The sequence below is a fragment of the Homo sapiens genome, chromosome 17 (assembly GCF_000001405.40).
Source record: "Homo sapiens chromosome 17, GRCh38.p14 Primary Assembly".
In the NCBI taxonomy this organism is placed as follows: domain Eukaryota; kingdom Metazoa; phylum Chordata; class Mammalia; order Primates; family Hominidae; genus Homo; species Homo sapiens.
Window position 1 is genome coordinate 80,520,789 of NC_000017.11, and position 15,920 is coordinate 80,536,708.

The 15,920-nt window shown below is 50.6% G+C and overlaps 2 annotated features.

Moving 5' to 3' along the window:
* Nucleotides 5,952-6,925: an enhancer, noted in NCBI's record as "H3K4me1 hESC enhancer chr17:78500540-78501513 (GRCh37/hg19 assembly coordinates)". NCBI's record gives its function as "activates a minimal SCP1, AML or CMV promoter by ChIP-STARR-seq in primed H9 embryonic stem cells {active_cell/tissue: H9 hESC(primed)}" and the evidence as "EXISTENCE:reporter gene assay evidence [ECO:0000049][PMID:30033119]".
* Nucleotides 15,042-15,669: an enhancer, noted in NCBI's record as "H3K27ac hESC enhancer chr17:78509630-78510257 (GRCh37/hg19 assembly coordinates)". NCBI's record gives its function as "activates a minimal SCP1, AML or CMV promoter by ChIP-STARR-seq in primed H9 embryonic stem cells {active_cell/tissue: H9 hESC(primed)}" and the evidence as "EXISTENCE:reporter gene assay evidence [ECO:0000049][PMID:30033119]".

Sequence of the window (15,920 nt, forward strand, 5' to 3'; positions counted from 1 at the left end):
ACTGGGGCCTGTCAGAAGCTGCCTGGCAAAACGACTAAACAGGAATCAAGCATTTGCTGTGTGGTGGACACCAGCTAAGCCTTTTATGTGCACTCTGTGCTATGACCCTTCACAAAGCCCTACCAGGAAGAGGTCCTGTTATTATTCTCATTTCATAGATGAGGACATTGAGGCTCAGAGAGGTTGGGTAACCTGCTCAAGGTCACACAGCCAGAGAACAGCAGAGCTGGAACATGAACCCAGGCCTGCTGACTACAAAGCCAGGACCTCTCCAAAGCAGAGGTCTCCCTGTCCTCCCTTGCGAGCTTGGACAGGAAGTGGGGCGAGGTGGGGCCGGGAAAGCCGCCTTCCCAGCCAGCCTGCCTGCCCTCTGGCTCCACCGTCTCTGATCTTTTTCCACTGTCTTTGCTCGTTTGACTTTTCCCCTGTTGTTCCTACTTTCTTCATCCAAACAAATCCTGTCTGCTCACATTTCAATCTTCCAGCTGGGTGCCAGCCAGAGTCCTCCCTTCCCTTGAATATGCAAGATTGGCATGCCCCATGCAGATTTGCCACAAGCAGAGTGGGCTGCTGCCTCCGCATGGAGCAGGGGGCACCAGGGGACTCTCTTGCTGTCCCCAGTATCTCCCGAATGGCCTGCCCCCACGCCTGGGTGGTCACCATTAGCAATCGCTTCATTTGGGTTATAGCAGCGAGGATGCTGGCGGTTCCTGCTGAAACCAGGGGAGGCAGAAGCAGCAGGCAGGGAGGCCTTTCCCTACGCACACCTGAGACTCCCAGATTGCTTTGGTAGCCAACAGCCAGCTGGGAGCTGGGCCTCAAGGAGTTGGGATATAGGACAGGTCACTTTAAAAAAAAAAAAAAGTGTGGTAAGGGCCGGGTGCGGTGGCTCATGCCTGTAATCCCAGCACTTTGGGAGGCCAAGGTTGGTGGATCAAGAGGTCAGGAGTTCGAGACCAGCCTGGCCAACATGGTGAAACCCCGTCTCTACTAAAAATACAAAAATTAGCTGGGTGTGGTGGCGGGCGCCTGTAATCCCAGCTACTCGGGAGGCTGAGGCAAGAGAATTGCTTGAAACCAAAAGGCGGAGGTTGTAGTGAGCCAAGATCGCACCACTGCACTCCAGCCTGGGCAAAAAAGCGAAACTCCATCTAAAAAAAAAAAAATTGTAGAAACATACAAATAACATAAAATGTACCCTTGTACTCACTTTTGTGCACAGTTCCGGGGCATTTGGCTCATTCACATGATTGTGCAGCCTTCACCGCCATCCTTCTCCAGAGCATTTTCATCTTCTCAAACAGAAACTGTCCCCATGAAACATAAACTCTCCACCCCACCCACCGCCCCCAGGCCCTGGCAGTTTCCATTCCACTTTCTGTCTCTGCAAGTCTGACTGTGTTAGGGGCTTCATGCGAGTGGAAGTTGACAGGATTTTTTTTTCTTTGAGACGGAGTCTTGCTCTATCGTCCAGGCTTAGAGTGTAGTGGCTTGATCTCGGCTCACTGCAACCTCTGCCTCCCAGGTTCAAGCGATTCTCCTGCCTCAGCCTTCAGAGTTGCTAGGATTACAGGCGCCCGCCACCACACCCGGCTAATTTTTGGGTGTTTAGTAGAGACAGGGTTTCACCATATTGGCCAGGCTGGTCTCAAACTCCTGATCTCAGGTGATCCACCTGCCTTGCCTCCCAAAGTGCTGGGATTACAGGCGTGAGCCACCGCACCCAGCTCAGCATTTGTTCTTTTTTATTTGGCTTCTTTCGCTTAGCATAATGTCCTCAAGGCTCCTCTGTGTTGTAGCCTGTGTCAGTGTTTCACTGCTTTTCGAGGCTAAATAAGGTTCCATTGTATGGAGACACCAAGTTTTGCGTATCCGTTCACCTAGCAATGAACACTTGGGTTGCTTCTGCCTTTTGGTTGTGTATAAAGATGCCAGGAACATGGGTGTGCAAATATTTGTTCAGGACAAGTCACTTGGTGATGAACCAAGAAGGGGACAGGTGTGGAGGGTGGGGCTGCTGGAGCTGCCAGCCTTGGAGGGAAAAGCAGAGTGGGGGGTGGTGGGCTGGAGGAGGTCCGGAGCCTGGGGGAGGTGCAGGGGAGGGAGTAGGGAGTGGGGATGAGGTGGGCAGCAGCAGGGATATCTGTAGGAGACGCTGCCTTCCCATGATACCACCTGCCTTGGGCAGAACTATGTTTTCTCCGTAACTGGGGTCTCCCCAGCATTCCAAAGAGGTAGGGATATTTGGGGAACCTGAGAGCTGTCAAGAAACAGCTGTCAGGCAGCCGAACCTAGACTTGCTGGCCCATATTCAGGATTGCTTCCAAGGTCGGGATCAGCCAAGCCTGGCGGGAAAGAGGCAAATGCTGGTCACTGTCTGGCAATGCATGATGTGGCAAAGGGACTGGGCTGCTGTGATACAGAGCACTGCTCATATGCATGGGTCAGCTAATGCCTGGTAACAAACAGGACCTCAGGGGCTGCACTAGCACTCAGGGCTTAGCAAGTTTCTGTATTGGCCAGTTATTGGCACAATAATGATGAATGCCAAACCAGTCCCAAGCTCGGGGGCTAGCTCAGCATCACTGATTTCCTGGGCCTGTGGCTGGCATGGCTCTGCCTCACACCACAGATTGGGCTGGGTCTCCCACCCTCCTGGGCTCGCTCGGCTTACTGAGGCAGCTTCTTGTCCTGGTGACGGCAGAGGCAACAGAAGGCAAGCCCACCCACGCACGCACGTCTGCAAGCCCCTGGCTTTGCTCTGCCTGTCTTGCTGGCCAAAGCTAGCCTCAAGGCCACACTGGACGTCCAGGGTCAGGGAAGCAGATTCTGCCTATGTGGGAGGAGCTGCAAGTCACATGACAGAGGGCAGGGACACAGGGAGGGGTGGTGAGAATTGGGGCAAAGCTGCCACCTTTCTGGAATGTTCCAAAAGAAGATGGACGACTACTGCTCCTCGGCCCTGGAAGGGAGAGTTCTTTTTTCCCCACTATAAAGTTTTCTGATTCCAATTCCAAAATGCTATGACTCTTAATCAATGCCTGATGAACCATACTTGAGCAAACATAATTTATTCTCTGTCAAGATCATCCTGAGGGGATCGGGTGTCTTTGTTTCCCTCCTAAATCCCCTGCGAATTCATCTTTTTTATTCCAGGCTTACTAGGAAATAAAAGATTTTGTCTGAGGGCTGATGGGTATTAGCAGAGCTATATGGAGCTTGAGTTGAAACTTGGAATGTTTGTGGATCAAAACCGAGCTGTGCTGGCAGCGTCTGGGAGGAGGGTGCACTCGCTGAAACTCTGCCCGAGTTGTGGCTGTCAGCTGCCTCGACTGCCAGACCAGACTCGCTGTTTTGGGGCCGGGTGGGGGGGACGGCGGGGGGAGTGTTGTTACGGATTGTGCTGGAAGGTTTTCTTGCTCTTGGCTTTTTTGGTGAAGGGCCTGGATTACTGCAGAAAATCCAGCTTATGTGTCCAAGGGCAAAGCAGGCCTGTTTATCTTTAACTTTTACATGCTTCACACATCTCCTGAGGTTTGACTCTAAGCAGGATTTGTGTCTTCCCTGATGCAAGAAAACAGGAGGCAGGCGCTGAGCTTGCAGGAGGCCACACAGCCAGTGCACAGCTTGCCATATGCTTAACGTGGCTCTGAGAAGAGAGGGTTGTTTTTTTAATATTAAAAATGGCTATGGGAAAATCTGCCCTAATGCTATTAAGCAGTGCTGATATGAGATGTGTGTGGCTGTAACTTTCTGATTGGATTTGGGATCTAGGCTGCAGCCAGCCAGACGCTGGAGACACATTCCTGAGCCACCTCAGCCCTTGCCTCTTTGCCGAGCTGCGGCTATTCTTTGGGGCACGCAGGTAGATGCAGAGAGACTGAAGTCTTCAGAGGTGGGTGTGCACAGAAGAGTGATTCCCAGATCAGGGAAGACTTTGGCCCCCAGATGACATTTGGCAAAGTCTAGAGGCCTTTTCAATTGTCACAATTGGGAGGAGGGAGGTACAGTAGCATCTGGTAGATAGAGGCCAGGGACGCTGCTCGACGCCTACAGCAGATGGACTCACAGCCAAGAATCATCTGCCCCTAACATTATTCAGCCTTAACTTACAAAGGAAGGAAAGTCTGGTGCATGTGTGCTGTGGTTTGAGTGTGTCCTCTCCAAAATTCTGTGTTGAAACTTCATGTCCCTGTGTCCTAATTGCCTTAAGAGGTGATTAAGTCAAGAGAACGCCTCCCTCCATAAAGGGATTAGTGCCCTTATAAAAGGGCTTTGAGGCTGGATACAGTGGCTCACGCCTGCAATCCAGTACTATGGGAGGCCGAGGTGAGTGGATCACTTGAGCCCAAGAGTTCAAGACCAGCCTGGGCAACATAGTGAGACCCTGCCTCTAAAAAAAAAAAAACTGGGAGTGGTGTCACATGACTTTAGTCCCAGCTATTTGGGAGGCTGAGGCGGGAGGATCACTTGAGTACAGGAGGTCAAGGCCATGGTGAGCTGTGATTGTACCACTGCACTCCAGCCTGGGAAACAGAACGAGACCCTACCATAAAAATACTACTACTAATAAAAGAGCTTTGGTGAAGGGAGTTTGTCCCTCTTGCCTTTCTGCCCTCCACCACGTGAGGACACAGCGTCCCCCCCACCAGGAGGAGGCAGTGCTCCAAGTGCCATCTTGGAAGCCAGGCTGGACCCTCTCCAGACAGCGAACCTGCTGAGCCCCGGATTTCGGACTCCCAGCCCCCCTGGCAAAGGCCCGTGTTCTCTTCCAACATGGTCTAGTGGCTACATCTTTGGGAGGGGGCGAATGCTGAGGCCTCACATGGTGGACCCACTCCCTCTGGCCCTTTGATAGGGACCCTAATTCCATCCGTGAAGTCTCCACCCTCGTGACCTCATCACCTCTTACGGTGTCACCTCTTAATCCCATTACAATGGTGAGTAAATGTCAACATATGAATTTTTGAGGGGACACCATCATGCAAACCATGGCAGTGGTGCCGGCTATGTAAGTAGCTATGACTGTGCAGAGGTCACCATGGCCATCTCACATGCATGTCACTCAACCATCAAAACTCACCCAACAGCAGTTGCCCAAAGCCCCCCACCCTGCCCCACTTGTACCCACAGGCACTCCAGTCCCAGCTCCAAATTACATTTGTGCAGCCTTATTTCTCCAAGTGGCTTCCCACAAGCTTGAGATGCAGGTGGTCGTCAGGGAAGGTCCTCATCTCTCCCCATTGGCCAACTTGGTTTTATATCACCTGCCCTGAAGTCCCTCTGCCAGAGGAGAGCCAGTGACTGTGCCAGGTGCTTCCTTGGACACACCCAAGCTGCCGTCTTAAAGAATCACCCCGTCAAGCTCTGCCACGTTTTGTCATCCGGCCCCACATTTCCTTCAGCTGTATCTCCCACCGTTCCCAAATCCAACAACGGCGCCTGTGCGTGGCCAGGAGCGCAGAGAGGCAGGGGTGGGAGTTCCCCCAGAGCCTGGCTCCAGCTCACAGCTCAGACACCCCGTGGCCCTCCTGCCCTGGGCCCGGATGAGTCGGGAATACGGGACTGCTCTCCAAGGTCCCCCCTTCCCCGTCTGCAGCCAGTCAGCCTCTGAGTCCTTATCATCTGTTTCCCAAATAGTTCCAGATCCCTCCCTCTCTGCCCTTCCCCCCTCATGCCCAGGTTTGGGCCACTATTACAATTTACCTGGATTACCTCTGCAGATTCCCAGGCTGCCGTTGGCAACAGTGGAAGGTGCAGATGGGGGCGAGGAAGATGGTGGCGCACTGCCTCTGTCCTTCTCTGCTCTGAGTTGGAGCCAACCCCGAGGTCTCCTTGCCCCTGGCACGCCCAATCTCATTGTCATGCACCAGAGAAGTGGCCGGGAAGCTCCCCGGGGCCTGGTCACTCGGCTTAGTCGGCTCTGTCACTTCCCCCCCCGCACCTGCTCAGCCCATTGACTCTCTGACTGCACCTCAGCCCCTGCCCCCCGCCAGGCAGTCACCTGCACTTCTGCATCCTCCAGGGGCCTCTCTTTCCCACCTCAGGGCTCAGTGCAAACGGTGCCTTCTTTCTCGAATGTGGATAATGGAGGAAAAATGTTGCTTCCCCACGAAGCCTTCCCAACCGCCTAATTTGGATGCAGTGTCCCATCCTGGGCCCTTAGCCCTGTTGCAGTGCACGGTGGTTGACGGCCCATCATCCTTCTCCCCTCAGGACAGAGGCCATGTCTTGCTTGTGGACCCTTGATCCTGTGTGAGGGACACGTGCCTCCCAAATGCCTGGGCTCAGCCTTCTCTGGAGGCTTCTTCACTTTGTGGGGATCCTCTAGGTGTGTCGGCCACATGATTCCCCTTCACTGATTCATCCAGCAAATTCATTCCCCTCCACTGATTCATCCCTGAGCATTGACTCTGATGGGCACCAGGGCCGTAGCAGGCCCAGGCAGACCTCGCTCTCACTGGCCTCTCCTGCGGAGGAGAAGCAGACGATAAACAATGGCTGGGCTATGATGGGCGGTGGCGGCGCAGTGGAGAGAGATCAGACAGGGGGAGGGCACAGAGAGAGGCTGAGGGGGCTCTTTTGGGAGCAGCCATAGAAAACTTCTCTGAGTGACGACGTTAGAGACCTCAAGGAAGTGAGGGAACAAGCAAGTGTTGCTGGCGTTGGGAACGGCAAGCGCCGGGCTTGGGGTGGCCCAGGGAGAGCACGGGTCAGCACGCCTGGAGTTCAGCAGCGTCAGGGAGGTAACAGGGTCGGATCCTGTAGGGCTTAGGGGTGATGTTAAACACTCTGGAATCATCCTGCATGAGATGGGGTCATTGGACGTTTTCGAACCCTTGGGGTTCCTCCTCTGATTTAAGCTTTGAGAGACCCACTTTGCAAAGTTCCCGCTATACACTCTATCATTACATCCTCACAAATTGCCTGGGCACAGTGGCTCATACCTGTAATCCCAGCACTTTGGGAGGCCGAGGTGGATGGATCACTTGAGGTCAGGAGTTCGAGATCAGCCTGACCAACATGGTAAAACCCCGTCTCTACTAAAAATACAAAAAAAAAAAAAAAATAGGTGTAGTGGCAGGCACTTGTAATCGCAGCTACTCGGGAGGCTGAGGCAGGAGAATAGCTTGAACCCAGGAGGCAGAGGTTGTAGTGAGCCAAGATCATGCCACTGCGACAGAGTGAGACTCCATCTCAAAAAACAACAACAACAAAAATAAATCAACATATGGGTAATCTTTTCCCCATTCTACAGTTGAGAAAACTGAGGCTCAGAGAGAAAGGGTAGTGACTTACCTGAGGGTGCAGAGCTTGAGTGTGTTGAACTTTGCTGGAATCTGGCTCAGATTCATTCTAAAGGCCCCACTCCAGCTGCCCTGCAGTAGGAATGGCTTGACCACTCTGCTCCACAGGCCCAAAGACAGGATGGGGTCAGGGCCAAAATGAGTGGTGGTAAGGTCCAACTCGGTTCTTCGAGAAGTAAATCAGCTCCTGAGACGTCGATCTTCCAGCTGCACCCTGTCACTATTGAGACCTAGCCAAGCACTTGGGGGCAATTATATGGGTGGCTGTGGCTGTATTGGAAGGCCTGAGAGAGGAGGGAGTCACAGGTGACCCTCTTGAGCAGGAGACTCGGGCCCAAGATTCAGGGACTGCCACCTTGGTGACAGTGTCAATGTTGGATGATTTTAGGTAAATGATGCCTTCACAGAGGCCTTTAACCCAGCGGAAACCAGCTTGGCAGGTACATGCTTTTTTCCTTCCTTTTCGGTTTCATTCTACCAACCTCCCTGATTGGGTTATAGGTGGGGTTCTCCGAAGCTCCCTGGAAGGCCCCTCAGGCTTACTCGGGAGTGTGGAGGTGGAGGGGATTATTTGCTCACTCCCCAGGAGCAGAGGAGGGAGACTGTCCCTTGATTGGGGGATGCTCTGAGAGATGCCGTCTGCTGTGAGGCGGGAAGAGGAGGGGCTCCCCGGTCCTCCCGGCTGCTCTTCCCACCTCTTTTGGGAGCATGGGATGGAAGATGCATAAAAATTCAAACCATCCTGAAAATAAATGAAAGGAAAATATATATATCCAAGAAGGAGATAACCATAGCAATCACTTTCACTCAAAGGTAATAAAAATAAGGATCGTAAACATAAACTCAGAAATTGCAAGCTGCACTCCCTGCCGACGTTTGCTGCCATGAGAGAGCACATTCCGAGGGAAGGCAAGGACTTTCCAGACTTTCCAGGACACTCTGGACATGTCTCTCTGATTGAAACCTCCAGAAGGAAAAATATGGGAGGAAAATAGTGAGTTATGGGGGGGAAATAAGGACCCAAACTATAACAAAAATGGAGAACACAAATTATGTTTACAAACGTTTCCCTGGCTGACAGAGACTCTGCCTGGAACAGATCACATATCATAAGGTGGCCACCTTCCCAGGGGTGGGGGCTCCTGGGTGAGTACAGAGTGTTCTGTGAGTGACGGCCCCCCCTCCCTGCCCGCCCCCCTCCGCCAGCCTCATGGAGCTGCACTGGAGATGGCTTATTCTGAGCGTCAGCTGCCGCCTTCCTCCTCTGCAGCCATCAGACCGAAGCTGCCGCTGTGACAAGCAAACCAGACAAGATGGACCGCGGCAGCTGGGCTGTCTGCAGAGGGCCATCCAGGCCTCCTTGCTAGAAACATGCATTTTAGATGGACAAACGGAACATTTTGTCCTCTTTGCCTTCTGATATTTGTCTTCTGCCAGAAGAGAGCTAGGACCCAGGCATCAAACTACAGCCAGTGAAATGTTCCTAACTCCCTGCTTGGGTTGCATCCTGCGACGGCTGCTCATTGCCCGACAAACGCTTCGTCCTGCCTGGGCATCATCCTTCAGCTGTAACCGGCGATGCGATTCCCAAGCACTGTTTAAACTTTCCAGTCAAAAATGAGACACCACTGCTCACTTATCAGATTTGCAAAAATCAAGATAATAAAGCTAAGGAAGGCTGGGTGTGGTGGTTCAGGCCTGGAATCCCAGCACCGTGGGAGGCAGAGGAGGGACGATTGCTTGAGCTCAGGAGTTGAAAGTTGCAGTGAGCCGCGATCATGCCACTGTCCTGCAGTGTGGGTTACAGAGTGAGACCTTGACTCAATAAAATAAAATATAAAATAAAATAAAAAATAAATAAAGCTAAGGAGGAAAACCAAAACATGGCTAGTCAGTTTGGGGAAGGTGGGACGACACGGTGTCCTCATGCCGGTTCGTTTGCAAACTGGAATGATCTTTTCGGAAGGAATGTAGGAGTGTCTCAGGAATCTGTAAAAAGTTCACAGCCAGGCATGGTGGCTCACGCCTGTAATCCCAGCACTTTGGAAGTCCACAGTGGCAGTATCATTTGAGCCCAGCCTGGGCAACATGGGGAAACCCTGTCCCTACAAAAAATACAAAAAATATTTGCTGGATGTGGTGGTGCATGCCTGTGGTCCCAGATGCTCAGGAGGCTGAGGTGGGAGGATCCTTTGAGCCTGGGAGGCAGAGGCTGCAGTGAGCCATGATTGTGCCACTGCACTCCAGCCTGGATGACAGAGTGAGACTCTGTTTCAAAAAAGAATAAGTTCCCCACCTTGATTTGCTATGAGCTGAATTGTGTCCCCCAGAAATCCAGTTCCAAGTCCTAACCCTGGTGCCTGTGAATTTGACTTTATTTGGAAATAGGGTCTTTGCAGATGTAATTAAAGTTAAGATGGTATGTCTGCTGTCTTTATTTTATTTATTTATTTTTTCTGAGACAGAGTCTCGCTCTGTTGCCTAGGTTGGAGGGCAGTGGGGCGATCTCAGCTCACTGCAACCTCCATCTCCTGGGTTCAAGTGATTCTCCTGCCTCAGCCTCCCAAGTAGCTGGGATTACAGGTGCACATCTGGCTAATTTTTGTATTTTTTTTTTTCCAGTAGAGACAGGGTTTCACCCTGTTGGCCAGGTTGGTCTCAAACTCCTGAACTCGAGTGATCCGCCTGCTTCGGCCTCCCAAAGTGCTGGGATTACAGGTGTGAGCCACTGCACCCAGCCGTCTGCTGTCTTTATGAGAGGAGAGACACATAGGGAGATGGAAGGCCCTGTTAGGATGGTGCCAGAGGTAGGAGGGATGCAGCCGCAAGCTGAGGCATGTAGGAGGTTGCTAAGGACACCTTGAAGCTGAGAGAGGGGCACGAACAGATTCTTCCTGGGAGCCTGGAGGCAGCAGAACCATGCTGACATCTTGATGTTGGAATTCTGGCCTCCAGAACCGTGGAGCAATACACTTGTTGCTTTAAGCTACCCAGTTTGTGGTACTTTGTTACAGCAGCCCTAGCAAACTAAGACACTCTATTTTTATGTTTTTTGAGACGGAGTCTTGCTCTTTTGCCCAGGCTGGAGTGCAGTGGCACGATCTCAGCTCACTGCAACCTCTGCCTCCCGGGTTCAAGTGATTCTTCTCCCTCAGCCTCCCAGTAGCTGGGACTACAGGCTCCCACCACTACGTACGGCTAATTTTTGTATTTTTAGTAGAGACAGGGTTTCACCATGTTGGCCAGGCTGGTCTTGAACTCCTTACCTCAGGCGATCCACTCGCCTGGGCCTTCCAAAGTGCTAGGATTATAGGTGTGAGCCACCGTGCCGGGTTACAAACTAATACACTCTTTTTGGGCTTTTACTTTCACTTCTAGGAAGAAATATTGTAGCTCATTATTTTCCACATTTATTTTTATTTCCACATAGTCAGACTATATTTCCCAGTGTCCTCTGCAGTTAGCTATGGCCATGTGATCGAGTTCTGGCCAATAGAATGTGGCCAGAAGTGACATAAACGCCAGACCCGGCCAATGGAAACCTTGTGCTCCCGTTCGGGGGTCTGTGCCCCCAAGGTTACCCCCTAACACCTACTGAACTACTGTATGTGTGAAAAATGGCCTTCTATTGATGCTGGGGAGTTACTGTTCCAGTACTTAGCACAGCTTGGCTAATACAAGGAAAAATCAGAGATAAAGAAAAGCAAAGATTCACAGGCCAGGATGTTTCCATATTCCACATCATTTACTGGGGGCAGCAGCCGGGGCACAAGACAAACTCACTTTTCTTTTTTTTTTCCTTTTTTTTTGAGACAGAGTTTTGCTCTGTTGCCCAGGCCAGAGTGCAATGGCGCGATCTCGGCTCACTGCAACCTCCGCCTCCCAGGTTCAAATGATTCTCCTGCCTCAGCCTCCCTAGTAGCTGGGATTACAGGCATGTGCCACCATGACTGGCTAATTTTGTATTTTTAGTAAAGACGGGGTTTCTCCACTCCATGTTGGTCTGGCTGGTCTCGAACTACTGACCTCAGGTGATCTGCCCACCTCGGCCTCCCAAAGTGCTGGGATTACAGGCATGAGCCACCACCCCTGGCCACTCACTTTTCTTTTAATATTCAGGGCAGCATGACCCCAAGTCTTTGTCCTTTATATTTCTGGGCAGCCATTCCTTTTGGGATGTCATAGGGGTCCCTTTAGGCCCTCCCCAGATCAGCCTCCTGCCCCACTGCTCCCTCCATCTGGGGTTTATCCCATTGCTGTGGACAGAGAGAGTCGTCAGTATGCCTTGGGGCCAGTGTTCACTCTGGGCTGTCTGAGCTGTTCAAACTCTCCCTGCCAATGTGTGTTCCCTGCTCCTGTTTCTGCTTCTAGCAGTAGCTCCTTGGGGTCCTGCTCATTGGAGTCATTTGACAATACTGGGCCAGGCATGGTGGCTCAAGCCTGTAATACCAGCCCTTTGGGAGGCAGAGGCAGGCAGATCGCTTGAGGTCAGGAGTTTGAGACCAGCCTGGCCAACATGGGGAAAACCTATCTCTACTAAAAATACAAAAATTAGCCAAAAATCGCTTGAACCCAGGAGGCAGAGGCTGCCGTGAGCCAAGATCGTGCCACTGCACTTCAGCCTGGGCAACAGAGTAAAACTCCGTCTCAAACAAAACAATACTATGTGCCCACACTGCATACCAGGCGCTGGCTCTCTGCAGGGGGTAAAAGGGAGAATGAGACAGATATGATCCCTGTCTTCGTGGAGCTTCTATCTGGCGGGGCAAAGGGACATTAAAACAATGTTTAATTAGAATAGTGATTAGTGCAATGAATACAATGTATAGGGTCCCATGGGAGTGGATACAAGGTAGGGTGACTATGTTTTATCATCCAAATCAGAACACCTTTGAGAATGTAAGAGGACACTATTAATAATTATGCCAGAGGAATGAGTGAAAACCAGGGCTGCCTCAGGGAAGGCAGAACCTTTGGCCACCTAGGAGGAGACCAACCCAGTCCCCGACAAGCTGTCTCTGAGCAGCTCCCTCCCAGCTTTGGACCCAGCCCTGACCAATAGCTCGGGGGAGCCCACACAGCTTGGATGAGTTCTCCCAGGCTTGACTGAACCTCACTCTTCAGAAAACACCTTACCACCTCCTTCAGGGCCCAGGTGGGCTGGAAACAAGTTCCCTGTATGTGATTAACACAATGGTTGAGAATACAGGACGAAGCTGTGGGTCTCACAGTTTGCTACGCATGGACTCACCTGGGATTCCAGGCTGACTCTGGGCTGCCATCCCCTAACATTGTGATGAAATGGGTGCAACTGGGGCATCTGGAATTTTATTGATTGATTGATTGATTGAGACACAGTCTCACTCTGTCACCCAGGCTGGAGTGCAGTGGCATGATCTCGGCTCACTGCAATCTCCGCCTCTGGGGTTCAAGCAATTCCCGTGTCTCAGTCTCTCTAGCAGCTGGGATTACAGGCCCACACCACCACACCTGGCTAAGTTTTGTATTTTTAGTAGAGACGGGGTTTCACCATGTTGGCCAGGCTGGTCTCGAATTCCTGACCTCAAGTGATCTGCCCGCCTCTGCCTCCCAAAGTGCTGGGATTACAGGCGTGAGCCACCGCACCCGGTCATTATTTATTTATTTATTTATTTATTTATTTTTGAGACAGTCTCACTCTGTCACCCAGGCTGGAGTGCAGTGGCACGATCTCCACTCACTGCAACCTCTGCCTCCCAGGTTGAAGCGCTTCTCCTGCCTCTGCCTCCTGAATAGCTGGGATTACAGGCATGCGCCACTACGCCCAGCTGATTTTTATAGTAGTAGAGATGGGGTTTCACCATCTTGGCCAGGCTGGTCTCAAACTCCTGACCTCAAGAGATCCGCCCGCCTCGGCCTCCCAAAATGCTGGGATTACAGGCATGAGCCACTGCACCCAACCGATGATCTTTTATTTTCAAAATGTTTCAGAATAATTTTTTTTAAATGTCAAATAATTTTTAAAAACGTGGCAAAAAGAAAAGGAAAAAAGGAAATTCACAAAATCAGAACACTGATTCCTCTGCTTAACTTTTATTTTCTTCATTTTTGGGAACATTTTCCAATTTCCTCCAACAAGCATCTATTACTTTTTACTTTTAAAATTTAAAATAAAAATGGTCAAAGTATGACGTGATGCTGTTTAAAATGTCAAATGGTATTTCTGGGATCATAATACCAGTGGGTCCCTGGCCTCCCCATTTCTGGTCCTGTGACCCTTGGTCCACATGTCTGGGCAGAGTGAGATCCTGTCTTTAAAATACATCTCAGCATTTCTACACGTGTCTACGGTCTTTTTCTTTGCGTTTTAAAAACCAGGTTACAGGCCGAGCATGGTGGCTCACGCCTGTAATCCCAGCACTTTGGGAGTCCGAGGCAGGTGTATTGTTTGAGCTCAGGAGTTCGAGACCAGCCTGGGCAACATGGTGAAACCCTGTCACTACAAAATTAGTCGGGTGTGGGCTAGGCGCGGTGGCTCATGCCTGTAAGCCCAGCACTTTGGGAGGCCGAGGTGGGCAGATCACTTGAGGTCAGGAGTTTGAGACCAGCCTGGCCAACGTGGAGAAACCCTGTCTCTACTAAAAATACAAAAATTAGCCGAGTGTGGTGGCACACACCTGTAATCCTAGCTACTCGGGAGGGTGACACAGGAGAACTGCATGAACCTGGGAGGCGGAGGTTGCAGTAAGCTGAGATTGTGCCACTGCACTCCAGCCTGGGCAACAAGAGCGAAATTCCATCTCAAAACAAAAACAAAAACAAACAAGCGAACAAAAATGTGATTGTGCTACAGTATTATGACCACTACAGCCTCACTAGGTGATAGGAATTTTTCAGCTCCATTGTAATCTGATGGGACCACCGTGCTATGTCTAGTCCACCTTTGACCACAACTGTTCTGCCGCTCATGAGTGTTACTTACAACATCCTTATGAAATAGACACTGTTAGTTTCCCAATGTTACAGATGAAATGGGGCTGGGGTAAGTCCAGCTCCTCTCCCAGAGCCTCAGGGCAAGGAATTGACAGAGTGAAAACTGGAACTGAGGCCTGTGTGACTCCCAGCACAAGCAGGCGCTGGAGGGCCCCCGGCAGCCACTTGCAGGCTAATGGGTGCTCTTGCCCCATGCTGGGCACTGTGCCACACATTGCGAGGGTCTGCGCTTAGCATCAGGCAGCTGTGCTTGGAATCTTTGCCCAGACTTGGTCAGTGGAGAGATCTTCAGAAAGTTATTTCATCCTTGTGCGTCTCAACTTCCTTGCTGATACAATGGATCTAGAACACAAGCTCTTCCCAGGGGTTATTAGGAGGGTTACAAGTGTTAATTCTCAGGAAAAAGGCTTGGCTCCCCATCAATACTCACTAAGTGTTAGGATTATCCTATTTTACTTACAGGCATATTTCTCTAATCTCCCCTATGAAAAGCAGAAGCAATGGTTGGCCTACCTTTGTCCCCTCAGGATCTACTGTTCAGCTGAGAGCTTGAGAATCACTGATGTTATGTAAATAGTACATAAAATAACAAGTGGGGAGTTTAAAAAGAGACAGTTGGTCACATTCTTTGTATTTTCATAGATTATTAAAATGAAGGGTTACAAAAATTCATTTTGCATATTATTATTATTATTGTTATTATTATTATTATTATTGAGACGGAGTTTTCGCTCTTGTTGCCCAGGCTGGAGTGCAATGGCATGATCTCAGCTCACTGCAACCTCCGCCACCTGGGTTCAAGCGATTCTCCTGTCTCAGCCTCCCGAGTAGCGGGGATTACAGGCATATGCCACCACGCCTGGCTACTTTTTGTATTTTTAGTAGAGACGGGGTTTCAACATATTGGTCAGGCTGGTCTGGAACTCCTGACCTCAGGTGATCTGCTCACCTTGGCCTCCCAAAGTTCTGGGATTACAGGCGTGAGCCACCGTGCCCATCCAGTTTGCATATTATATATTGGATAATAAATTTTCTCAACATAGTCTCAATCATATAAACTTTCCTCCCCCACCCCATTTTTCTTTTTTTTCTTTTTTTTTTTTTGAGACAGAGTCTTACTCTTTCGCCCAGGCTGGAGTGCAAGCTCCGCCTCCCAGGTTCACGGCATTCTCCTGCTTCAGCCTCCTGAGTAGCTGGGACTACAGGCGCCCGCCACCATGCCCAGCTAATTTTTTGTATTTTTAGTAGAGACGGGGTTTCACCGTGTTAGCCAGGATGGTCTCGATCTCCTGACCTCGTGATCCACCCGCCTTGGCCTCCCAAAGTGCTGGGATTACAGGCGTGAGCCACTGCGCCCGGCCCCATTTTTCTTTTTCTTTTCTTTTTTTTTTTTTTTTGGAGATGCAAGTTCTTTTATTAAATTCTCAAATTACCCAATTTGTGTGGGCCATCTGTTTCCTACCTGGACCTTGACACATTCAGAAGTCAACAGGACACTGTCCGAATGGGTTTTGGTTAGTAACTTCCTTATAGCGTCTCTCACTGTGGCTCACCCATCTGTGTTGTTCTCCTCATCCATTCAGGAAATGAGATTTTTTTTTTTTTTTTTTTTTTTTTTTTTGAGACAGAGTCGCACTCCAT